General features: G+C 40.1%; 2 annotated features.

The window, feature by feature from the left end:
- Positions 4,388–4,943: an enhancer, noted in NCBI's record as "NANOG hESC enhancer chr12:7434099-7434654 (GRCh37/hg19 assembly coordinates)". NCBI's record gives its function as "activates a minimal SCP1, AML or CMV promoter by ChIP-STARR-seq in naive H9 embryonic stem cells {active_cell/tissue: H9 hESC(naive)}" and the evidence as "EXISTENCE:reporter gene assay evidence [ECO:0000049][PMID:30033119]".
- Positions 27,136–27,336: a silencer, noted in NCBI's record as "peak1554 fragment used in MPRA reporter construct". NCBI's record gives its function as "represses an SCP1 promoter by STARR-seq MPRAs in K562 erythroleukemia cells {active_cell/tissue: K562}" and the evidence as "EXISTENCE:reporter gene assay evidence [ECO:0000049][PMID:32103011]".

The following is a 27,551-nucleotide window of genomic DNA, read 5'->3' as shown; positions in this document are numbered from 1 at the left end:
TTTCCTTGTAGTTGTGTGGTTTTGAGTGAGTTTCTTAATCCTAATTTCTAATTTGATTGCACTGTGGTCTGAGAGACAGTTTGTTATTATTTCTGTTGTTTTGTATTTGCTGAGGGATGTTTGACTTCCAATTATGTGGTTGATATTAGAATAAGTGCTATTTGGTGCTGAGAAGAATGTATATTCTGTTCATTTGGGGTGGAGAGTTCTGTAGATGTCTATTAGGTCCACTTGGTCCAGAGCTGAGTTCAAGTCCTGAATATCCTTGTTAATTTTCTGTCTCGTTGGTCTGTCTAATATTGACAGTGGGGTGTTAAAGTCTCCCACTATTATTATGTTGGCATCTAGGTCTCTTTTTTGGTCTCTAAGAACTTGCTTTATGAATCTGGGTGCTCCTGTATTGGGTGCATTTATATTTAGGATAGTTAGCTCTTCTTGTTGCATTGATCCCTTTACCATTATGTTATGCCCTTCTTTGTCTTTTTGATTTTTGTTGGCTTAAAGTCTGTTTTATCAGAGATTAGGATCACAACCCCTGTTTTTTGCTTGTGTGTTTGTTTTGCTTTCCATTTGCTTCGTAAATATTCCTCTATCCCTTTATTTTGAGCCTATGTGTGTCTTTGCACATGAGATGGGTCTCCTGAACACAGCACACTGATGAGTCTTGACTCTTTATCCAATTTGCCAGTCTGTGTCTTTTAATTGGGGCATTTAGCCCATTTACATTTAAGGTTAATATTGTTATGTGTGAATTTGATCCTGTCATTATGATGCTAGCTGGTTATTATGCACGTTAGTTGATGCAGTTTCTTCATAGTGTCAATGGTCTTTACAATTTGGCATGTTGTTGCAGTTGCTAGTACTGGCTGTTTCTTTCCATGTTTAGTGCTTCCTTCAGGAGTTCTTGTAAGGCAGGCCTGGTGGTGACAAAATCTCTCAGCATTTGCTTGTCTGTAAAGGATTTTTTTTCTCCTTCATTTATGATGCTTAGTTTGGCTGGATATGAAATTCTGGGTTGAAAATTCTTCTGTTTAAGAATGTTGAATTTTGGCCCCAACTCTCCTCTGGCTTGTAGAGTTTCTGCAGAGCGATCCACTGTTAGTCTGATGGGCTTCCTTTTGTGGGAAACCCAACCTTTCTCTCTGGCTGCCCTTAACAGTTTTTTCCTTCATTTCAACCTTGGTGAATCTGATGATTATGTGTCTTGGTGTTGCTCTTCTCAAGGCATATCTTTGTGGTGTTCTCATATTTCCTGAATTTGAATGTTGGCCTGCCTTGCTAGGTTGGGGAAGTTCTTCTGGATAATATCCTGAAGAGTGTTTTCCAACTTGGTTGCATTCTCCCTGTCACTTACATGTATACCAATCAAACATCGGTTTGGTCTTTTCACATAGTCCTGTATTCCTTGGAGGCTTATTTCATTCCTTTTCATTCTTTTTTCTCTAATCTTGTCTTCACACTTTATTTCATTAAGTTGATCTTCAATCTCTGATATCCTTTCATCTGCTTGATCAATTCATCTATTGAAACTTGTGTATGCTTCACTAAGTTCTCGTGCTATGTTTTTCAGCTCTGTCAGGTCATTTATGTTCTTCTCTAAATTGGTTATTCTAGTTAGCAGTTCCTACAATCTTTATCAAGGTTCTTAGCTTCCTTGCATTGGGTTAGAACATGCTCCTTTAGCTCAGAGGCATGTGTTATTACTTACCTTCTGAAACCTACTTCTGTCAATTCGTCAAACTCATTCTCTGTCCAGTTTTGTTTCCTTGCTGGCTAGGAGTTGTGATCCTTTGGAGGAGAAGAGGCTTTCTGGTTTTTGCAATTTTCAGCCTCTTTGTGCTGATTTCTCTTCATCTTCATGGATTTATCTACCTTTGGTCTTTGATTTTGGTGACCTTCGGATGGGGTTTTGGTGTGGATGTCCTTTTTGTTGATGTCAACGTTATTCCTTTCTGTTTGTTAGTTTTCCTTCTAACAATCAGGCCCCTCTGCTGCAGGTCTGCTGAAGTTTGCTGGAGGTCCACTCCAGACCCTGTTTGCCTGGATATCACCACGAAAGGCTGCAGAACAGCAAAGTTTGCTGCCTGTTCCTTCCTCTGGAAGCTTCTTCCCAGAGGGGAACCTGACAGATACCAGCCGGATCTCTCCTGTATGAGACATCTGTCAACCCCTGCTGGGAAGTGTCTCCCAGCCAGGAGGCACAGGGGTCAGGGACCCACTTGAGGAGGCAGTCTGTCCCTTAGCATTGCTCAAATGCTGTGCTGGGAGATCTGCTGCTCTCTTCAGAGCTGCAGGCAGTAATGTTTAAGTCTGCTGAAGCTGCGCCCACAGACGCCCCTTCCCCCAGGTGCTCTGTCCCAGGTAGATGGGACTTTTATCCCTAAGCCCCTGACTGGGGCTGCTGCCTTTCTTTCAGAGATGCCCTACCCAGAGAGGAGGAATCTAGAGAAGCAGTCTGGCTACAGTGGTTTTGCCAAGATGCGGTGGCCTCTGCTCAGTTCGAACTTCCCCGTGGCTTTGTTTATGCTGTGAGGGGAAAACCGCCTACTCAAGCCTCAGTAATGGCGGAAGCCTTTTTCCCCATCAAGCTGGAGCATCCCAGGTTGACTTCAGACTGCTGTGCTGGCAACGACAATTTCAAGCCAGTGGATCTTAGCTTGCTGGGCTCCATGGTGGTGGGATCCACTGAGCTAGACCACTTGCCTCCCTGGCCTCAGCCCCCTTTCCAGGGGGGTGAACGGTTCTGTCTCATTGGCTTTCCAGGTGCCACTGGGGTATGAAAAGGAATTCCTATAGTTAGCTCGGTGTCTGCCCAAACGGCCGCCCAGTTTTGTGCTTGAAACCTAGGACCCTGGTGTCATAGGCACCGGAGGGAATCTCTTGGTCTGCAGGTAGTGAAGACCGTGGGAAAAGCATAGTATTTGGGCTGGAATGCACCGTTCCTCGTGGCACAGTCCCTCATGGCTTCCCTTGGCTAGGGGAGGGAGTTCCTTGACCCCTTGTGCTTCCTGGGTGAGGTAACACCCCACCCTGCTTCTGCTTGCCCTCTGCGGGCTGCGCCCACTATCTAACCAGTCCCAGTGAGATGAGCCAGGTACCTCAGCTGGAAATGCAGAAATCACTCGCCTTCTGTGTTCATCTCGCTGGGAGCTGCAGACTGGAGCTGTTTCTATTCAACCATTTTGCCATGCCCCATTCTCCTTATCCTTTGTTCTTAATAATTCTTAAATAATTTGTTTCCTGCCTTTCTATTTTCTTTCTTTTTTTCTTTTTTTATATTAAAAGGAGGAACTAAGATGTAGCCTAGGGTTTAGTGTGGTGGACTGATGTGTGCTGATTGTGGGCAGGACTCTACAGTCGTTCACCACTGAATCATTTCCACCCTCTTACATGTTTCAGTTTCTCTCTCTGTTGATTTTTCACCTCTCAGAGGGCTCAGAATGCGCAGTGGTCAGCTCTTATATATGTTTCCTGGATGAGCCCTTTAAAACTAATTTTGTTGGGGGGTTCCCTCTAGGGCCACTGCATGTCACAGAGGGTAAACCCCACAGGCACTCTCACTTGGCCTCTGGTCACCCAGGGGCACCTTTCAGCTGGGAGAAACAAAATGCCCTTTCTCTTCAGAGCTAAGGAGCTTAGTCTCCCATTTTATCTATGAAAAGGGCAATTCAGTTTCTCATGCAAATATGCAGACAAACCAGTTGAGCTTCATATTGGGGAAAAAACAATGGAGAAGACACTTTAGAATGCACTCCCATACTAGAAACCAAATGGGGTACTTGAAAGGGGGTTGTTCTTCTTGTCTTTAGAAAAGGAAAATGGAGAGGACTCTTTATAATGCACCTCTGAACTAGCATTAGGATCCTAAATAACATCCTAGGAGAAAAAAAACCCACCTTAGAATAAATCAAGAACCATCAACCTAGCTCTGAGTTCAGGCAACTCCTTCATGTTCTGAGTCTTCTCAGAGGGCCCACATGTTTGGGTGCCAAGTTATTGACAAATAGAGTCATACTCTGTAAAACATATGAAGAGATTTATTCTGAGCCAAATATGAATGACCAATTGCCCATGATACAGCCCTCAGAAGAGCCTGAGAACATGTGTCCAAGGTGGTCAGGCCACACATGGTTTTATACATTTCAGGAAGACATAAGACATCAATCAATACATGTAAGATGTACATCGGTTTTGTCCAGAAAGGCAGAACAACTGCAAGCAGGGGTTTCCAGGTCATAGGTAGATTCAAAGATTTTCTGATTGGCAGTTGAAAGATTTAAGTTATTGTGTAAAGATTTAGAATCAATAGAAATGTCTGCGTTAAGATAAAGGGTTGTGAGACCAGGCACCGTGGCTCATGCCTGTAATCCCAGGACTTTGGGAGGCTGAGGTGGGCAGATCACTTGAGGCCAGGAGTTGGAGACCAGCCTGGCCAACATGGCAAAACCCATGTCTACTAAAAATACAAAAATTAGCCAGGCATGGTGGCACATGCCTGTAATCCCAGCCAGTCAGGAGGCTGAGGCATGAGAATCACTTGAACCCGGGAGGCAGAGGTTGCAGTGAGCCCAGATTGCACCACTGCACTTCAGACTGGGTGACAGAGCAAGACAGCTGTCTCAATAAAAAGATAAGGGGTTGTGGAAACCAACGTTTTATTATGCAGATGAAGCCTCCAGGTAGCAGACTTCAGAGAGAATAGATTGTAAATGTTTCTTATCAGACTTAAAAAGGTGGTAGACTCTTAGTTAATTCTCTCCTGGATCAGGAAAAAAAAACAAAAACAAAAAAAAACCTTGAAAGGAATGAGGATTATCTACAGAATGTAGATTTTTTTCCCCCACAAGAGACAGCTTTGCAGGGCCGTTTAAAAATATATCAAATAAATATATTTTAGGGTAAAACACTTGGATTTGTCACCTCTCAGAGGATTCAAAATGCAGAGTGGTTAGCTCTTACATGTGTTTTCTGGATGAGCCTTTTAAAACTTATAGACCTGATATCTGTCATGTAATGCTATATTAGAGTCAGGCTGGAATTTCGTGTCTTATTTCTACAAAAAGTCTGTTTTGTCAGTCTTAAGATCTCTGTTTTAATAGCAGTGCTGGTCAGTTGTGCCTGAATTCCAAAGGGTGGAGAGTATGAGACATGTGTCACCCCCACTTCCCATTATGGCCTGAACTAGTTTTTAAGATTAACTTTGTAATGCTCTTGGCTAAGAAGAAGGGTCCATTCAATTTATTGAGGGGACTTAGAATTTTATTTTTGGTTTACACCCTGTGAACTGAAGCTAGACAACTTAAACTTTAGGAGAAAATAATGGCAACCTATTTGTATACAAAAATTATTTTCATCTCTATCTACTGATATATGGACTTCAGAATAATATGGCCTATGTCGGTTTTCCAGGATTGTTCTTCCTTTTTTGTTTATTTGTTGTTTTCTTTCTCTCTTTCTCATCCTATTTTTTTCTTCATAGAACATGAGGCTTCACAACCTGCTAAAATAATAGTTTCTAACAATGTGGGACCTATTTATCTGGGAATAAACCATCCTGGTCACAAGAGATCCGACAAAACCTAAGACCAGAGACTCATTTTTCTCTAAAATTCTTTCTCTGAAAAATTTTAAAAAGAAAAAGGGGGAACAGAAGTGAAAGGAATATAAAAACTTAGGACCCCAGTTCACTATGCCAAAAGGAAAAAAAATAAGCTGAAAGCTGAATCATGCAGGAAGCTGCCTTTCCTTTTATTCCTAAGCAGAGAGATACAGATAAAAGGTGAAATATCTCCCCTAGTTAGCTAATCTGTGTTGACTTTATCTTATGTAAAGTGCCAGTTTACTAAACATGAGATGAATACGTAATTGACTATTCCCATACCTGCACCTTTTCTATTGCAACATGTGGATTTAGTAATGTGACTGTTTTTCCCCTTCAAATATTGAAGCCCTCAAAATTATCTTTGGAGAAACGTACAGAACACAAACTGTTTCTGTGATTCTGTGCTTTTTTTCTCCTGGGCATCGGCCTTAACCTTGGCAAAATAAACTTCTAAATTGATGGAGACCTGTCTCAGATACTTTTTGGTTTGTAAGGCCCATGAAGATCTTACTGCCCCATGACTCTGCACCACTTTTCTGACCACATGTGATTTTTCCCTACTTTGACAAACAAATTGAGAAGTTATTAAAATCATAACTTATCCTTCTTCTATGTTTTCTCAGCACTACGCACATTTATGATTATGTTGTTTAAAAAAATAACAATTTGTAGGCCGGGCGCGGTGGCTCACGCCTGTAATCCCAGCACTTTGGGAGGCCGAGGCGGGCGGATCACGAGGTCAGGAGATCGAGACCATCCCGGCTAAAAACGGTGAAACCCCGTCTCTACTAAAAATACAAAAAATTAGCCGGGCGTAGTGGCGGGCGCCTGTAGTCCCAGCTACTTGGGAGGCTGAGGCAGGAGAATGGCGTGAACCCGGGAGGCGGAGCTTGCAGTGAGCCGAGATCCCGCCACTGCACTCCAGCCTGGGCGACAGAGCGAGACTCCGTCTCAAAAAAAAAAAAAAAAAAAAAAAATAACAATTTGTGAGGAAAAGGAAGAGGACCAGGTGCCACCTGCCTGCATTCTTCCTGGATGCTGGAGGCAGTGAGGCAGTGAGGCAGTGAGGGGGCAGCAGTGTGAGGTGACTTTAGGGTGACCTTGCCTTCTGGCTGTGCCTCCTCCTAGAGCCCAAGAAGCCTTGAGACTGTGGCATCCAGTGCTGAAAGGAGGAGACAGCAGCCCAGCCAAGGGTAAATGAGTTTCTGATGGATCATGGCAGACAGGAGGCAGAACTAGATTGCAGCTCCGACTAGGATGTACAGAGCAGCATGCGGAGGCTCACATAATAAATTTTTGCTCCAGAATGACTGCAGGAATAAATCAGGAAAATGGAGAGGACCCACAGACCCTCTGAAGGAAGCAGATTGCTCCTGCAGGACCCAGGAGACACCCCAAATACTATGCTGGTATCCACAGCTGAGAGAGCCACAGACAGTTCACATCACAGGACTCTGCAGACATCCCAAGTACCATCCTGGAGCCTGGTAGACATGCTGGGTGGCTAGATCCAGAAGAGATAAAAATACCACAGCTCGGCTCTCAGGAAGCCACATCCCTAGGAAGAGGAGGATGGTACTACATGAAGGGGAACACACTTAGGGACAATAGTTCTGAGCAGCCTTCAGCCCTAGACCTTCCCTCTGACAGAGTCTACGCAAATGAGAAGGAACCAAAAAACAACTCTGGTAATACGACAAAGCAAGGTTCTTTAACACCCCCTAAAAAATCACACTAGCTCACCAGTAATGAATCCAAACCAAGAAGAAATCTTTGATTTACTTGAAAAAGATTCAGGAGGTTAGTTATTAAGTTAATCAGGAGGCACCAAAGAAAGGTGAAGCCCAATGTAAGGAAATCAAAATAATGATACAGGAAGTGAAGGGAGAAATATTCAATGAAATAGCATAAACAAAAAACAATCAAAACTTCAGGAAACAATAGACACACTTATAGAAATGCAAAACACTCTGGAAAGTCTTAGCCATAGAATCAAAGAAGTAGAAGAAGGAAATTCAGAGATCAAAGACAAGGTCTTTGAATTAACCCAATAAAACAAAGACAAAGAAAAAAGAAAAAGAAAATATGAACAAAGCTTTCAAGAAGTCTGGGATTATTTTAAATGACCAAACCTAAGAATAATAGGTGTTCCTGAGGAAGAAGAGAAATCTAAAGTTTGAAAAACATATTTGGGGGAATAATCGAGGAAAACTTCTCTGGCCTTGCTAGAGACCTAGACATCCAAATAAAAGAAGCAAAAAGAACACCTGGAAAATTCATCATAAAAAGATCATCTCCCAGGCACATTGTTGTCAGGTTATCTAAAGTTAAGATGAAGGAAAGAATCTTAAGAGCTGTGGTACAGAAGCACCAGGTAACCTATAAAGGAAAAGCTATCATATTAACAGCAGATTTCTCAGCAGAAACCCTACAAGCTAGAAGGGTTTGGGGCCCTATCTTCAGCCTCCTCAAACAAAACAATTATCAGTCAAGAATTTTGTATCCAGTGAAACTAAGCTTCACATGTGAAGGAAAGATACAGTCTTTTTCAGACAAACAAATGCTGAGAGAATTCACCACTATCAAGAAACCACTACAAGAACCGCTAAAAGGAGCTCTAAATCTTGAAACAAATCCTGGAAACACATCAAAACAGAAGCTCTTTAAAGCATAAATCTCACAGGACCTATAAAACAAAGAATACAATTTAAAAAGCAAAAACAAAAAAACCTAGGTATACAGGCAACAAATAGCACAGTGAATGGAGTGGTACATCACATCTCAATACTAACATTGGATGTAAATGGACTAAATGCTCCACTTAAAAGATACAGAATTGCAGAATGGATAAGAATTCACCACCCAACTATCTGCTGCCTTCAAGAGACTCAGCTAGCACATAAGTACTCATATAATCTTAAAGTAAAGGAGTGGAAAAAAGACATTTCATGCAAATGGACACCAAAAGTGAGCAGTAATAGCTATTCTTATATCAGACGGAACAAACTTTAAAGCAACAGCAGTTAAAAAAGCTAAGAGGGTCATTATATAATTAAAAAAGGCCTTGTCCAACCAGAAAATATCACAATCCTAAACATATGTGCACCTAACACTGGAGCTCCCAAATTTATAAAACAATTACTAATAAACTTAAGAAATGAGATAGACAGAAACACAGTAATAGTGGGGGGCTTCAGTACTCCACTGACAGCACTAGACAGGTCATCAAGACAGAAAGTCAACAAAGAAACAATGTAGGCCAGGTGCGGTGGCTCACACCTGTAATCCCAGCCCTTTGGGATGCCAAGGAGGGTGGATCATGAGGCCAGGATATCAAGACCATCCTGGCCAACATGGTGAAACCCCATCTCTACTAAAAATACAAAAATTAGCCAGGTGTTGTGGTGCACACCTGTAGTCCCAGCTACTCGGGAGGCTGAGGCAGGAGAATCGCTTGAACCCAGGAGGCAGAGCTTGCAGTGAGCCAAGACCACACCGCTGCACTCTAGCCTGGTGACAAAGCAAGACTCCATCTCAAAAAAAAAAAAAAAAGAAAAACAGAAGCAATGTATTTAAACTATATCCTGGAACAAATGGACTTAACAGATATATACAAAACATTCCATCCAAAAACCAGAGAATATATATTGTATTCAAGAGTGCAAGGAACCTTCTCCAAGATACACCATATGGTAAGCCACAAAATAAGCCTCAATAAATTTAAGAAAATTGAAATTATATCAATCACTTCCTCGGACCACAGTGGAATAAAACTGGAAATCAACTCTAAAAGGAACCTTCAAAACCATGCAAATACATGGCAATTAAACAGCCTGCTCCTGAATGATCATTGGGTCAAAAATGAAATCAAGATGGAAATTAAAAAATTCTTTGAACTGAACAAAAATAGTGACATAACCTATCAAAACCTCTGGGATACAGTAAAGACAGTTGCAAGAGGAAAGTTCATAGCCCTAAACACCTATGTCAAAAAGTCTGAAAGAGCACAAACAACCTAAGTTCACACCTCAAGGAACTAGAGAAACAAGAACAAACCAAACCCAAACCCAACAGAAGAAAGGAAATAACCAAGATCAGAGCAAAACGAAATGACATTAAAACAAACAAACAAACAAAAAAGATAAATGAAACAAAAAGCTGGTTCTTTGAAAAGATAAATAAAATCGATAGATCATTAGCAAGATTAACCAAGAAAAGAATAGAGAAAATCCAAATAAACTCAATAATAAATGAAACAGGAGATATTAAAACTGACACCACAGAAATACAAAAGACTATTCAAGTCTACTAAGAACAACTTTACATGCATAAAGTAGAAAACTTAGAAGAGATGGATAAATTTCTGGAAAGATACAATCCTCCCAGCTTAAATCAGGAAGAATTACATACCCTGAACAGACCGATTAACAAGCAGCAAGACTGAAATGGTAATTCAACAACAACAAAAAAGTCCAGGACCAGATGGGTTCACAGCAGAATTCTACCAGACATTCAAAGAAGAATTGATACCAATCCTATTGACACTATTCCACAAGATAGAGAAAGAGGGAACCTTCCCTAAATCATTCTATGAAGCCAGTATCACCCTAATAAAAAAATCAGGAAAGGATGTAACCAAAAAAGAAAACCACAGACCAATATCTCTGATGAACATAGATGCTAAAATCCTTAACAAAATACTAGCTAACCAAATCCAACAACATATCAAAAAGATAATCCACCATGATCAAGTGGGTTTTGTACCCAGGGTGGTTTAACATAACCAAGTCAATAAATGTGATACACCACACAAACAGAATTTAAAACAAAAACCACATGATCATCTCAATAGATACAGAAAAAGCATTTGACAAAATCCAGCATCTCTTTATGATTAAAACTCTCAGCAAAATCGGCATACAAGGGACATATCTCAATGTAATAAAAGCTATCTATGACAAACCCACAGCCAACATAATACTGAATGAGGAAAAGTTTAAAGCATTCCCTCTGAGAACTGGAACAAGACAAGTATGCCCACTCTCACCAATTTTTTTCAACATAGTACTGGAAGTCCTAGCCAGAGCAATCAGACAAGAGAAAGAAATAAAGGGCATCCAAGTCATTAAAGAAGTCAAACTGTCACTGTTTGCTGATGATATGATCATTTACCTAGAAAACCCTAGACTCCTCCAGAGAGTTCCTAGAACTGATGAAAGAATTCAGCAAAGTTTCCAGATACAAAATTAATGTACACAAATCAGTAGCTCTTCTATACACCAACAGTGACCAAGCTGAGAATCAAATCAAGAACTCAACCCCTTTTACAATGAGTGCAATAAAATAAAATAAAATACCTAGGAATATACCTAACCAAGGAGGTGAAAGACCTCCACAAGGAAAACTACAAAACAGCTGAAAGAAATCATAGGTGACACAAACAAATAGAAACACATCTCATGCTCATGGGTGGGTATAATCAAGATTGTGAAAATGACTATACTACCAAAAGTAATCTACAAATTCAATACAATTTCCATCAAAATACCACCATCCTTCTTCACAAATTTAGAAAAAATTTCTAAATTTCATATGAAATCAAAAAAGAGCCCACACTGCCACAGCAAGACTAAGCAAAAAGAACAAATCTGGAGGCATTACATTACATGATTTAAAACTATAATATAAGGCCATAGTCCCCAAAACAGCATGGTACTGGTATGAAAATAGGCACATAGACCAATGGAACAGAATAGAGAACCCAAAAAATAAACTCAAATACTTACAGCCAATTGATCTTCAACAAAGCAAACAAAAACATAAAGTGGGGAAAGGACACCCTTATCCCCAGGTGCTGGAATAATTGGCTAGCCACATGTAGGGGAATGAAACTAGATCCTCATCTATCACCTTATACCAAAATCAACTCAAGATGGTTTAAGAAGTTAAATCTAAGATCTGAAACTATAAAAATTCTAGAAGATAACATTGGAAAAACCCTTCTAGACATTGGGTTAGGCAAGGATTTCATGATCAAGAACCCAAAAGCAAATGCAATAAAAACAAAGATAAATAGCTGGGACTTAATTAAACTAAAGAGCTTTTGCATGGCAAAAGGAGAAGCCAGCAGACTAAACAGACAACCCACAGAGTAGGAGAAAATTTTCACAATCTATACACCTGACAAAGGTCAAATATCCAGAATCTCCAAAGAACTCAGACAAATGAGCAAGAAAAAAACTATCCCATCAAAAAGTGGGCTAAGGACATGCATAGACAATTCTCAAAAGAAGATATACCAAATGGCCAAGAAACATATGAAAAAATGCTCAACATCACTAATGATCAGGGGAATGCAAATCAAAACCACAATGTGATACCACCTTACTCCTGCAAGAATGGCCATAATCAAAAAATCAAAAAATAGTAGGTATTGGTGTGGATGCAGGGAATACTTCTACACTGCTGGCGGGAATGTAAACTAGTACAGCCACTATGGAAAACAGTGTGGAGATTCCTTAAAGAACTAAAAGGAGAACTACCATTTGATCCAGCAGTCCCCCTACTGGGTATCTACCCAGAGGAAAACAAGTCATTATTCGAAAAAGATACTTTCACACAAGTGTTTATAGCAGCACAATTCGCAATTGCAAAAATGTGGAACCAACCCACATGCTCATCAATCAATGAGTGGACAAGGAAAATGTGATTATATATACATATATGATGGAATACTACTCAGCCATAAAAAGGTTTGAATTAATGGCATTTGCAGCAACCTGGATGAGATAGGAGAATATTATTCTAAGTGAAGTAACTCAGGAATGGAAAACCAAACATTGTATGTTCTCACTGATAAGTGGGAGCTAAACTGTAAGGATGCAAAGGCATAAGAATAACACAATGGACTTTGGGGACTCAGGGGCAAAGGGTGGGAAGGAGGTGAGGATAAAAGACTACAAATAGGGTGCATGGTGATCTCACAAACCACCACTAAAGAACTTACTTACATAACCAAACACCACCTGTTTCCCAATAACCTATGGCAATAAAGTAATAATAATAATAATAATAATAATAATAAAACAACTTGTGGTGTATTGTATTAATTTATGTAAACCCTCTCTTTGTAGATTCTAAACCCTTAGAGGACAGGGCCTTGACTCTTTCTTGTCCTCTTTTCTTTTGTCTTCTGATTTTTAAAGCTGTATATACTTATTATAGAAAAGTTAGAAAAACCATAACTTTGTAAATAAAATAAAATTGTAATTCCAACCAGATTTTAGGAAATAGTTATTCTATTTTGAACTATTTCCCATTAGTCCTTCTGGTGTGTTTAAGCATTTATATACCCATCCACACCTAATGCCCCCATGTGTATATAGTCATACTTATTATTATATATGTATTCATGTATAAAATAAGGGTATAGAGTTATGGTTTCATATATATATATGTGTGTGTGTGCCCAATGAGAGGGGACACAAAGAGGCACAGGCACATCACCATCCCTGACCCTGAGGAGTGCCCAGTCCAGCAGGAAGGGCAGGGGCACAAATGACAAGGCCACAGCAGTGAAGGGCCTTACAGGGCTGGGGATCTATTGGTTCTGATGGAAATAATATTTCACTAGAAAAAAAACACATGGCTTTTGGAATCAGACTGACCTGGTCTTGAGTCCTGCTCACTAGTTCTGTGATTCTAGGCAAGTCACATTGGGTCTCAGAGAAAAAACTGAGCCACCTCATGAGGATGGCTGTGATGAAGTTACATGGAATAAGTCCAGTGTCTGGCACAGCACCTGGCAACTGGCACAGGCTTGACCAGTGATAGTTGTGCCATCTCCTCCTTTGTATTTCCACCCCCTTATAGGGCCTCTGAAACAGTGGAGCTCACTGCAGGATGAGCTAGTTGAGGGCTTCTTGGAGCCGGTGAAATCTTAATTGCCTTTAGAGGATGGCAAGACTATGAGTAGGTGGAAAGGAGAGCTATTAGGCATCTTAGAAAGGGACCACCATATAAATAAAGACAAGAAGGTACTTACTAATGAGCAGGCTCAGTCAGGGATGGTAAATTGACACATCTCTGGAATTAAGTTCTGTGTTGGGGAATGGTGGACAATGAAGTTGAAAAGACAGGCTATGGAAGACCTCACAAGCCAAGCCAAGAAGTTTTGACTTTATTTTGTGGTTAATGGGGAGACATTGACAGTTTAAAGCATTTAAGTAGTAGCAGCAACAGCCACAATTGATTATTATTTTATTTCTAGTCTATTGTCACAAAACACACAAGGTGAAACCTAACGAAATTAAACTTAATAGGTTAGGAAAATCAGTATATAAAATTTCACGTATACTCTTGAGCTAGACTGGACCCGACGCAGTTTTACAATGGATGACAATAACAACTCAGGGCTAAAGTGACTTTCATTTTGTTTTATCACAGAATCAGGGAACAAGCCATGTGAAGACTATACTAAGATCAGGGACACACAGAGATGCATTACAGCGAGACTTAGGGATAAAGTGATAGTGGAGGACATGTGAGCACTTAAGGGAAATGGTGTGTTCGTAAATGTTTAACAATTGGCCCTCTGGCAAAAAAAAAAAAAAAAAAAAAACCCTGATTTATGTTATTTGTCAATTTCCATGCTGTAAATATTCCCATTATGGCTGATTTTGTGGCTGATTCATACCTATCTGTGTGATGTCACTGAACACAGAGCTGGGAAGAGAGGCACACAACTGGCTCATGTGAACTGGTCAGAGCCAGCTCCAGCACACCACTGCCAAGTCTTTCTTCTTATCATAAACAGAAATTCTTGACATGCTGTAATACCTATCCCTATGTTTTATGTATTGCTGTGACATTAGGCCTCCCTAAGTTTTCATGCAATAATGTTGCCCTTGCCCTGATGCAATATGATTCCAATTATATAAAACAATACACAGATGAAATTTTAAAAACATGGAGGAAAATACACTAAAATATTAACAATGATATGTATACATAGTTGAATTATGGGTGACTTTCATTTTATTTCTTATATTTTCTAAAATTGTACATGTTTTCTACCATGGGCATACATTACTGCTTTTTTTTATAATCAGAAAAAATTATAAATTATTTCTATGGTCATGAAATATACAGTTACATACTCAGATATGTGAAAAATACAATTTTATCTCTCTGTAGCAATACTGTAACTTTTATTCTTCTATTCCCATTTTGCTTAAGATCAGAACACTTGATGCAGCCACTGCTGGAGAGACTCCATCACTTTAGTATTTAAATTTGGTCAGTTCAAAGTTTAAACTCTGTCAGCTTTCTGATTCTTCCTCTTCTTCTTCTTATCTCTGTGAGAATCGTGTATATTTCAGAGGGCTGGTGTGTTGTCCTAGAATCAGGGAACAGAATCTGGTCCATAGTCACCAACATCCATCCATGGTATCTTCCACTGAGCTGTGCAATCCTCGCTGATCTTTGATCCCTGCATCTTCCTGCTGTGTCCACAGCGAAGGAGTTCCATGATTCTTTGCTCTGCGGTCACCATGGTCAAGTGGCCCTCTTAATATTCTTAACTGCAGTGTAGCCCTAGTCCTCCAACCTCCTTTCAGCCAATTCTGCACCCCTTTTGGCACACGTTCAGATGGGCTCCTGAGTCACACTGGAGTGGCAGGAATGTCTTAGGTCTTCTCTTCACATTCTCATTTACTTTTTACTGTGGCGGCTGCAGGTTGGCATTGTATGTGTGTTTGGGGTGGGGGAAGTGGCATCTAGCCCTGGGATATGTAGGCATAGAGTTTCTTTGTAGGCAATCACCCTGAAATAAGCTCTAGTTTTAGCTCATTCAATCACCTCCCCCCACCCCATTTAACCTTTATCTTCTTTGGGGCAGAATAAGTGTTTTTATATATTCCAGCCATCTTCCCTCATCCTATTCCCTGCATTATTCAGAGCCTTTGGTTCTTGATATTCATAGTCAAGCTTCTGGACACACACACAGACACACACACACACCCCCCACAAAGACACATAATGTTTTATAACAATCCTGGCTTTTCAATTGGAAACCTTCTTTTCTTTTCTTTTTTTTGTTTGTTTGTTTATTGTTGTGGTTGTTGTTTTGAGAAGTCTTGCTCTTTCGCCCAGGGTGGAGTGCAGTAGCATGACCTCGACTCTGCAACCTCCACCTCCTGGATTCAAGAGATTCTCCTGCCTCAGTCTCCAGAGTAGCTGGAATTACAGGCACCTGCCACCATGCCAGGCAAAGTTTTGTATTTTTAGTAGAGATGAGGTTTCACCATGTTGGTCAGGCTGGTCTTGAACTCCTGACCTCAAGTGATCTGCCTGCTTCGGCCTCCCAAAATGCTGGGATTACAGGCATGAGCCACTTGCTGTAAACCTTATTTTCAATTGATGCTGGTAAGTGTTTCAAGAACACGTTTTGGTACACCTACTATGTACCCCAAATGATTGAAATAAAATAAAAAATTTAAACGACAAAGAAGACAGTTTGAAGTGCTTCAGTCAATATCTCCAAGTATTATTCCACTCAGTCCTTAAAAAGTTGCTGAGGAGGCTGGGTGCGGTGGCTCACGCCTGTAATCCCAGCACTTTGGGAAGCTGAGGTGGGTGGATCACAAGGTCAGAAGATTGAGACCATTCTGGCCAACATGGTGAAACCCCGTCTCTACTAAATATACAAAAATTAGCTGGGCATGGTGGCATGTGCCTGTAATCCCAGCTACTCAGGAGGCAGGGGCAGGAGAATTGCTTGAACCAGGGAGTTGGAGGTTGCAGTGAGCTGAGATCGCACCACTGCACTCCAGCCTGGCGAAAGAGCAAGACTCTCCGTCTCAAAAAAAAAACAAAAACAAAGAAGCAAACAAACAAAAACTTGCTGAGGAAAAATGAAATAAGTCCATTCTGATCTAAATAAATGATTTAATCAATAAATGAATGATTCTTAATAATTTATGTAGGTAGCCTCTGAAGGAGGTATAACTTAACTTCTCGACTCCTGAGAGCGGACTATGCTTAGTAACATGCTTTTAAAGAGTGACGTATGAAAAGGCAGGGGAGAAAATAACTTTACAGTGGAGAAACTTGGGACACAGGACCTCAGCCTAGCAATCAAGGTTTTAACACAGCATAAGTGTCAGTGATAAGTTAATAGCATGCGCCCTTGATATAATGTGATGAGATTATCACTTCATCTCTGTGATCTTCTTCTCAAACATGAGCGATCCCAGTCTAACCATGAAAAAATTATCAGACACATCCAAATCGAAGGACATTCTACAAATGCCCAATCAGCACTCCTCAAAATTGTCAAGGTCATCAGAAACAAGGAATGTCTAAGAAATTTTCAGAAATGAAGTCAGGACATATGACTAAATGTAATGTGGTTTCCTGGATGGGATCCCAGAACAGAAAAAGGACATTAGGTAAAAGCTAGTGAAATCTGAGGAGAGTGTGGAGTTTTGTTAATAGTAACGTACCAATGTTGGTGTCTTAGTTGTGATAAATGTGCCGTGGTAATTAATGTAAGATGTCAACAATGGGGAAAACTGGGCGAGAGGTATACGGGAACTGTCTGTATTGTCTTTGCAACTTTTCTGTAAATCTAAAACTATTCTAAAATTTAAAAATTATTATTAAAGTTGTATTCAGGAAAATATAATAAAGAATGGATTAAATCTCTTTTTAAAAAAAAATACTCCATGAGAATCAATGTGGAAGAGGAAATGATGGTGGCCTTGTCCGATCTGAGTCCAAGATTTGAGAAGTTGCTGTGTAACCTACAGGTGGACACCTTACCATCAATTAGTAATTGTAGTTACTGAGGGATGGAATAAAAGTAATTTTATTTAATAAAAAAGAGATAGAAATGATGCAGGCAAATAAAAAATGGAGTAGGAAATAAGAATAACACCCAGTGTGAGAAAGTACACAAAATAAATGCCACAAAGACCTATCCATTCACTGGAAGCATGCCAGAAATTTGGCTAGAGCTTTCTCCCATCCAGCCAAAAGAAGGAAACATAATCAGATATGTGTGGTGTCCTCAAGACAAACATGTAGACTAGTGGCCTAGAAAAAAATCTCACCTTTTCCTAATATTGACAGCAGTGGGAAATGTTTCTCCTGTGTCTTATGGTGTACATCGTCTTCACTATCATTTCTACACTAAATTTACCAGCGAATTTCTTTTTAGTTTATTTCTGTATGTGAGCCAATAGCATTTGAAAACCAGGCAATTTGATTAAAGCAAATTCTATGAAGGTTTAGGAGCAGAGAAGTATCTGGAACACAGCTGTTAAATCCAAATGCTCTGCTGAGGTGAGGTTTGGATTGATATCCTCTTCAGAAAGTTGAGGTAGACCTGATAAAGACCATACTAACTCCACATACAGACAGGCCAGAAGAATAAATAATTACTAGAAACCTACAGTATTTCAGGCCATGCACTAGTAACTGGGGCATCACAGATAAATAAGATGTGTTGCCTGTCCTGGGCCGTTTTCCATTCTGGCTGGGGAGAGATATGTAAAGAAGTTAGCACACTAAAGTGTTGTATGTATTATGATAAACATGTGAATAGGTTTATGAAGGGAGTAGTGGATTATACATTGATGGTGGTGAGGAAAGAGATGTGGAAGCAAGGAAATGTTTTATAAAGAAGAGGTATTTTAGGCTGGGCACAGTGGCTGATGGCTGTAATCGCAGTGCTTTGGGAGGCCGAAGCAGGAGGATTGCTTGTGTCTGGGAGTTTGAGACCAGCCTGAGCAACATAGGGAGGCCCCATCTCTACAAAAAATTAGCCAGATGTGGCGGTATGAGTCTGTAGTCCCAGCTACTTAGGAGGCCAAGGTGGGAGGATTGCTTGAGCCCAGGAGGCTGAGGCTGTAGTAAGCCATGATCATACCAGTGCACTCAGCCTGGGTGACAGAGTAAGAACCCGTCTCAAAAAAAAAGAAGAGATATTTTAGGATGGTCACTCTGGCAATGATCTGGAGCATGTGTAGTAAATGAAGATTCCAGAGGCAGAGCAGAGTTGGGCGATGATCCATAGAAAGGTCAGTTGGCTACTGAATTCTGTTTCTATCCCAACGTGAAAGTGCAAGGAACCAATACTGTATTGGTCAGGACCTTTTTGGTTGTAGTGACAGAATTCCAATCAATATAACTTGTGGAGAATTGGGAGGGAATTTATTGGCTTGCTGAATCAAGAATGTATTGATCAGTCAAACCATATGAAGAACAAGGTACAGCTGGACCTTAGAAAAATGAGGGACTCAAACATCATCAGGAGTCTGTCTTTCCATTTCTTGTCTGTTTGTCTGTATGGGTTGATTGCATTTCTTTTTCCTAAAATTGGCTTTCTCTACATGGAGGTAAACATGGGACTTTGTCAATTCTTATATTTTTCATCCTAAGCAGGCTGCCACTCCAGAGATTGGCTATTTTATTTATACTTTGAGAAATTCTGGAGAAGAGCTTTGGATAGGGTTAAGTGCCAACCACAGGACCAATCCACAGAAGCCAGGATGAGGATGGGGTCAAGAAATAGCATGGGAGCTGTCATGCTGGCCATACAGTTGAGAGGATTGGCTTTTCCAAGAAACTGACTGCTGGGCATACAATCCTAGCTATCTGCCTCACTAGGTTAATGCTGATTTTATATCATGTTCTGCTCAAGGAGCTGGGGATGTGAGGCAGTGCCCCATCTTCTTTAAGATGTCATGAAAAAAAACAATCACTAATTCCTGGACAACTTTCTCCTGAATTCAACTTCTCAGTTGCTTTTATCTAGTATTTGGGGCTGAAGTCATTCGACCCTTTCATTTGGGATCCATTTGGCTCTTTGAGCATCTCTGAAGTTTTTGAATGCTGCAAATGGATTGCAAGAGCTGGAGTCTCCCTTCTACAAGGAGCAGGAAGTATTTCATGCTTGCTTTCTTGGTTATACAGGCTTCCTGTGGGACTCACTTGCTTAAATGAGGAAGGCAAGGTAACAAGTCACCATTGGATTGCCACCAGCCCTTTAATGATTCTTTTGGAAGGACTAAGTTTTCTTCCAGTTATAATAAGCACCAGGGACCATATGAACATGCAGCTTGATCATCAGCTGGGCCTTTAGGGAGCATACTCCATCCCTGGCAAGTGAGGAACTAAAGTAATTATAGCCCAGTATGGATTTCAAAGGGAAAATGGCAAATCATACAGAATAGAGAATATACCCCTTAGGTAAGCTCCTTGAACAAGAGGCTGAGAATGTTGAATTACTCCTCAAGGTCTTATAATCACATCAATCCAAAACCAGGTGCCTATAAATCATCAGAGATCTGTTTCACTTGAAAACTGTCCACATAATAATTGCAGGTATTCTTTACATGCATATAGTACATTGTAATTGCTGGGATCTCATGTGTTATTATTTTATCTAATCCTCACAAAAATCCTGTGAACTAGGCACTACCAGTACTATTATTTTATAAATGAGGAAACAAGCTCTGAGAGGTTAAGTAAATTGCCTAGGACCAAGCCTTATTTTCATGCTTGATTCTTTGTCTTTATTATTATTACCAACTTTCAGCATAACAGGTTGGTACCCTACCAACTTGCAGTGGTGACTAATGAGTTTTTAAAGTATGATTGTGAACTCATAAATATGCAATTATATATATTTATATACATATGCATACATATGTAGTCATTTTTTTTAATGCTCAAATTTTTGTCCCAAAGTGACTCAGGAGGGAGCCCCTTCAGGCTGGTTTCTGTGTCCCTTTTTTGACATGACTCAGTTGTCTTTGGAAGCTTTCTTATTTTCTGGCACAAATAAGATGTCCCAGGTTCATCTTGTACATTTCCTGTCACAGTTCTGAAGTCAGCCATTTCGCTAAAGAGTTCTGGTTTCCTTTAGTGAGAAATAGTATTTGACAATCAGTAAATCAACCATTATTTGCTGTTGAGCTTTACTAATATAAGAATGACTAACCACATTAGGCCTTGTATAGTCTTAGACTAGTAACTAACATTGTTGGCCCACAGTGCACAGTACCAGAAAGGAGCCGTGAGGCAAGACAGGAAGCTGAACAGACCTCCCTCCTTTGTGACTTAACATTATGTGTCTGGATCAATCTATATTTGGTTGAAACCCAGGATTATTTACTACTCAAATATTTACTAATTAATGTACTTTGTATCACACTCAGTGAAGAGTTTAGAGGTACACAAGGTACAGATACATAACAGCACACAGTTATTGGAATAAAGGAAATGGGAAAGTGTTGGAGGCCAAAAGAATGAGGGTCATGACCAACTCAGTATACCACTGGAGGCTATATGAGCAAATAGCAAACTGTTCTCATGAAAGCGGGAGTTGGCAAACTGGCAAACTGCATCTGCTGCCAGAAGGAATGCTGAGGCAGTCACGCCCCAAGCGCAGTGTTCCTTGTGGTTATCTATAGGAATATCTGAAGCCTGTAGTATAAAAAAAGCAATTAGGTGAACCTGTGATAAATCAAGCAGCTGACCAACCATTACCTTTCCTCCCTGTTGATTCTACGTAATAAATACAAAGGGCTGTAGAAGCTCAGGGCCCTTGCTCACTAGAAACAAGGAGCCCCCCACCCCTTCTTTTAAAACAGATCTTTTGTCTTTGTCTTCATTTCTGCATTCGTCCTCCTTCGTTCAGTCCCATAGTAACCGTCACAGGAAGGGGCTGTCACTCTGTCTTTGTCCCCTTAGGAGCTGATGGCACATACATTAGACAATAGCTAAACATGAGTTGCAGTATTTTCTATGCAGACAGACCAGTGAGTCAAAGATGGTGCTACCATAGACTCCAACCTCTACCTCCTGAGACTTCTGGCCTGAGAGGATAATTGCCTTAGGGAGTCTGCTCTTAAACAGTACTCAGATCTTCAGAGGTTTTCAAGAAGATGAAGGGATTCAGATGCCAGATGTGGTGATCAAAACATGAATTCCATTTCTTCCTCTAGGCCAGTGGGCAGAACCCCAGGTGCAGCCAGAAGAAGAAAGAGCTGTTGTTTCCTATGAATGGAAATCAGAAACCAGTATTTAAGGGTTTAATCCAAATTAATGATCTGCATTTCAGGGCCCCAGATGGTGTAGGTTGGATTACCCCATATATTGCTTCAGACTTTACCCTGTCAGTAAGTGGGGGGTGATGGGCTTGTCACATTTCTTATTTATTCAGCTGGATGAACAGATCATGAGAAATGGGGAAAGTCTATACTGGAACAATTAAATGTTTTTAGAGCCATGTCATTATCTTCCCTCACGCCATTGGAATATAAACTCTATAAAAAGGGAGATTTTTGTCTGTTCTGTTCACTATTCTATTTTTTGCACTTTGGACAATGCCTGGAACATAGTAGCTTTTTTATTTGTTAAATAAATTAATATATTTCTCCCAGAGCAACATCAACATGTGTGGGCTCTTCTTTAGGGACCTTCCTTTTGCCCTTGCTTGGCCCACATATGCATCTTTCTCCAAGGGAGGTATTTGTGGTCTGGATGTGGCTATTCTGGAGTTTCTCATTCATTAATTACCTTGTCAGATTGAACAACTGACATCCTTTGTACTGAAGAAATATCTACAGGAATGTTTTCTGCTGATGGACTTAGAGTTTTCCACTTTTAATAGATTTATTAGCAACAAAATAAAGCACATACACAACACACACACACACTTTTGGGCATGTGTGATGCATAAGTAGAGCTGGTAATTTGTCATCTCTAGACAAACTCAGAGAGGAAGGATGCAGTTTGTATCAGTCAGGATGAACTACGCTATGCTACATAATAAAGAATCCCCCAAATCTCCGTGGTCTATAACATCACAATCTTTTGCTCTCACTACTTGTTCAGCATGGGTTGGCTGAGAGATCTTCTGTGACCTGGCTGATAGAACAACCATTATCTGAAGGATCGCCCATCATAAGTGTGGGAAAGGAAGCAATTATGTGCTCCAGCCTAGACATGGTATACATCATTCCAGCTCATAATTCATTGGCCAGAGCTTGTCACAAGGCCCAAGTGGAAATTGTAGTACTATCTGGGGGGTTGATATGCTTTGGATCTGTGTCCCCACCAAATCTCATGTTGAATTATAATTCTCAGTGTTGGAAATGGGGCCTGGTGGGAGGTGATTGGATCATGGGGGCAGATTGGATCATGGGTGCTGATAGCCAGTGAGTTATCATGAGATCTGGTTATTTAAAAGTGTGTAAAGTATGTAGCACCTTCTCCCATCTCTCTTCCTCCTGCTCCGGCTATGTGAAGTGCTGGCTGCCCCTTTGCCTTCTGTCATGATTGTAAGTTTCCTGAGGTCCCCCAGGCAGCAGAAGCTGCTATGCTTCCTGTACAGCCTGCAGAACCATGAGCCAATTAAACCTCTTTTCTGTATAAATTACCCAGTTACCCAGTCTCAGATATTTATTTTTCTTTCTTTTTTTTCAGGTATTTCTTTATAACAATAAGAGAATGGACTAATACAGGGGTGGATAGCTGGGTAATAACTACCACAGTTGTTTTACCACAGTGTTCTAGATTGATTTTATTTCTGGAAGTTTCTTTCTTTCTCTTTCTTTCTTTCTTTCTTTCAACTTTGTTTCTTTCCTCCTTTTTTTCTTTGCCAATCTCTGGGAAATCATTTTTTCTCTGAGACAGTTTTTCACACTATTGCCCAGGCTGGAGTGTAATGGTGCCATTGTGGTTCACTGCAGCCTCAACCTCCAGAGCTCAGGTGATCCTCTCACACCGGCCTCCTGAGTGTCTGGGACTAAGGACATGTGCCTCCATGGCCGGCTGGTGGTAGTTTTTCATAACAGAACCCAAGAGCACTTTCCTAGAGAGCAGTAGTTTAAATATTAGACTGGCCATTTTGTAACCTCAGCAAACTAGGTCTTACAGCAGCAATGATCATAGACTTCGAATCAGAGAGACGCACCTCTGCTACTTAATAGTTGTGTGGCATTACATAAGACACTAAATCTCTCCAAGATGAGTACTGTCATCTCTAAATTGGGTCTTACTCACAGATAAGATGAAATTGTTATGAAGATACTAGACCATCTAGTGAATTGCTTAGTATACAATATCTGGTACATATTACCAATTCAATACATGTTAGTTAGCTTGGAAGATAGAAAGTCTTACATTTTATTAGTTGGTGTTTCTTGAGCCAAGTTTTCTTGGCAGGTAAAGCTTTTATGTTCTCAGGAGGTCTGGCAATTAAGATTGCTCAAATTTCTCTGTGGGGGAATGTTATTTGAAATGATTCTTCTGTTTACCAGGTTCAACTTACATTAATTCTCTGCTTCCACACACAGTCTTTCACCTATATTCTCTTTACTACAGAATATCTGGAAGTCTCTTCTTTTTAAAAAATTTTCTGAAATATATATATGTGTATATTTGTGTGTATATATACCTCTTTTCTGTATAAAGTACCCAGTTACCCAGTCTCAGGTATTTATTTTTCTTTCTTTTTTTTCAGGTATTTCTTTTTTTTTTTTTTTTTTTTTTTTTTTTGAGACAGAGTCTCGCTCTGTTGCCCAGGCTGGAGTGCAGTGGCAGAATCTCAGCTCACTGCAACCTCCACCTCCCCGGTTCAAGCAATTTTCATTCCTCAGCCTCCTGAATAGCTGGGATTGCAGGTGCGCCCCATCATGCCTGGCTAATTTTTATATTTTTAGTAGAGATAGGGTTCCACCATGTTGGCCAGACTGGTCTCGAACTCCTGGCCTCAAGTGATGTGCCTGCCATGACCTCCCAAAGTGCTAGAAGTCTCAATATTAGTCTCAACCTTGGATATCCATCAGAATCCCCAGGGCATTTTTCAAAAGATCTATGCCTGAGCCCCACCTCAGACCAATTAAATCAGTTTCTCTGGGAGTGGGGACCCAGTCATCCATATTTTTAAAGCTCCTCTGGGGATTCTGGTGAGCAGCGAGGACTGAGAACTGCTGCTCTACATGTCTGGTTTTTGCCCATGTCTCTAGCCTCATCTCCTGCCACTGTCCTCCCTGTGCTCATCACGCTTTTTTTTTTGCTGTTCATTGAACATGCCAAGGTGGCTCCTACTCCAGAACCTTGACATTCACTGTTCCCTCAGCCTAAGTGTGTTGCTTCAGATTTCCATATAACTGATTCTTGTTCATGAGGTCTCAACTCAAATGTCATGTCTTCAGAATTTCACTCCACTACCCATTCTAAAGTAGCACTCCTCATCTGGTTTTACTTGAGCTATTTGCTGATTAATCTGCTATTTTCCTGCCTGTCTTCTCATTAGAACGTAGACTCCAAAAAAGTAGAGCTCTTGTCTGATTTATTCACTATTATATGTCCAGGGTTTAGAGCACTATCTGGCACATAGTAGATACTCAATAAATATTTGTTGAATAAATTATTCTTGTCTGCCATAAACTAATATAATTACAAAATGTTGTTTTAATGATCAATTCTTACGATATATTTACAAAACAATCATTTCCTTAGAAGCGAGCCTTGCAGTTTCTATTTTCTCATGCCCCTTTACATAGTTTATATTGTTTAACTATTTGTTATAGGGAGAAAAAAGAGATAACGCTATAGATAAATACCCATTTTTATTACGATTATTGTACCTACAGCCTTTGCTCTATCCTGTTTTCCTGTCCATTTTATTCTTTTCTCTCAGTGGTTACCATCATTCTGAAGGTTTCTTGGGTTTGAAGGCATTGATGTTTCTTTTCCTTAAATTTCTCTCTCTAGTGATCATTAAGAAAGACTAGGGGACTTGAGTGAAATGTCTGGGTTTGAATTCTGACCCTGCAAATTTCCAAGGGCAGGTCATTTAACCTCTTTGAACCTCAGTTTCCTCATTAATGAAGTGAGGACACTAATAGTTTCTCAAAAAACTATTTTTTGAGTTCCTGTCTCAAAAAACTGTCATAAAAGAAAGTGAGAAAATATAGGTAAAATTACCTCCTCCTTGCAGAAGCCATCAGCAACAACTTCCTCAACTTGGAGTCTTTCCCTTTCACTCATTTTTTCTCTTCTACATCCCACCTTCCCTGCGTCCAGGGTCAGGAGGAGGGTGTTCTGGATCCCTCCTCTTTGTCTCTACAGTGGCCTCACCCATTTTTCCTTCTCTTTTCTCTTCCAGCTTCTCTGTTACTGACCCTTTCTCACAAGCAGTCAAACACGCTGACATTGTTCCTCTATTTTAAAAGCCAATACCTCACTCTTGGTCTCCTGTTGCTTATATTAATATTTCTCTCCAGATAAAGTTTTTTGTTGTTGTTGTTGTTTTTGTTTGTTTGTTTGTTTGAGATAGGGTCTTTCTCTGTCACCTAGGCTGGAGTGCAGTAGCCCGATCACAGCTCACTTTAGCATTAAACTCCGGAGCTCAAACAATCCTACTGCCTTGGCCTCCAGAGTAGCTGGAACACAGGTGCGTGTCACCATGCCTGGCTAATTTTTTATTTTTTGTAAAGATGATGTATCGCTATGTTGCCCATGCTGGCAGGTTAAGTTCTCAACAGAAAAGTTCACTTTAATTGAGGCTTTTACAGACTTTTCTTCTAGACACCCCTCCACATACTACATTGGCCTCCTGCCCCAACTTCTCTCCTGAAGCTGCCTTTGCCATAATCATAGGGACCCTCTGGGTGCCACATTCAGTTGTTCATTATACATATTGATCTCTTAACAGCATTTGAAACTACTAACCATTCCTTCTTATAACTTTCTCTTTCCTTGGTTTTTATCATATCATTCTCTTCTGCCATTCCTTTTACCTGTCTAACTGTTCCTGCTTCATCTCTTTCTTGGACTCTTCTTCTTAAATATTGGCATTGCAAGGGCTTCACCTTTAGCCTGCTGTTCTTCTGGAACTATATTCTGTGCCTGAGTGACCTCATTCATGTTCATAAATTCAATCACCATTTATACACTGAAGATTTCCCAAGTTCATCTCTCATTTAAACAACTCTTTTGAGAATTAAACCCATTTCTCCAACTATTTCCTGGTATTTCCTGGACATCTTCACCCAAATGTTCAATGAGCGCCTCAAAAAATCAAGAACATAACAATTCTTGAACATATTCCCCTGTTCCCAGAATATAAGTTCAGGAAAATAGGAACTCTTACCAATATTTTTTATTGCTATATCCCTAGAGCTTATAATATTGTCAGACACATATTAAGTGCTCAGTTAATATTGGTTAAATGAATGGAAATTTTCCCCACCAACCTGTTCTTCCCTCTGTATAGCATTAATATTTGCTCAATTATAGCAACATGGTTTCTTGTCATCTCTTTTTTCCTTAATCCTTATATCCCATTGGTTTTCTATGTTCTGTGTATTCAACCTGCTCAATCTAAAGTCCATTTCTTCTCCTACATTCTCACTGATATTTTTCAGGCATTTATAATCTCTCCTTTTGTATCCTCACTGTTCTTATTCATATGATGGGGATAATAATAGGACTTTTCTCATAGGACAGTCATAAGCTTCAGTGAAGTAATATACCCAAACTCTTAGTATGGTGCTGGGATGACTCAGTAAATTTGGCGAGACAGCTGTATTTCTTATGTATCTATATGGATCTCTACAAATACATCTACATGTAGTAAGAGGACAGTCTAGTTAACCTCCATATTTTAGTGTAAGTCCTAACCCAGGAGAGAATGTATTGAACAGATAAATAAATTTGCTTTGTAATGTCAATCAAGTCATGTCCTTGTTGGCCTTCAGATTATTCATTTATTAATTCAGTTAACTAGACTAGCTAGGATCATTTTATAGCATTTTCATATTACAAAGCACGTTCATAGCCATTAACTCATCTTATTTCCATGGCTATTATTCATCTTATTTCCATAGCATTTATTATCATTAGCACCCCAATTTTCAGGTGAAATAAC

The sequence above is a fragment of the Homo sapiens genome, chromosome 12 (assembly GCF_000001405.40).
Source record: "Homo sapiens chromosome 12, GRCh38.p14 Primary Assembly".
In the NCBI taxonomy this organism is placed as follows: Eukaryota; Metazoa; Chordata; class Mammalia; order Primates; family Hominidae; genus Homo; species Homo sapiens.
Note: the sequence above shows the minus strand (reverse complement) of the source record. Positions and strands in the feature narration are given on the sequence as shown.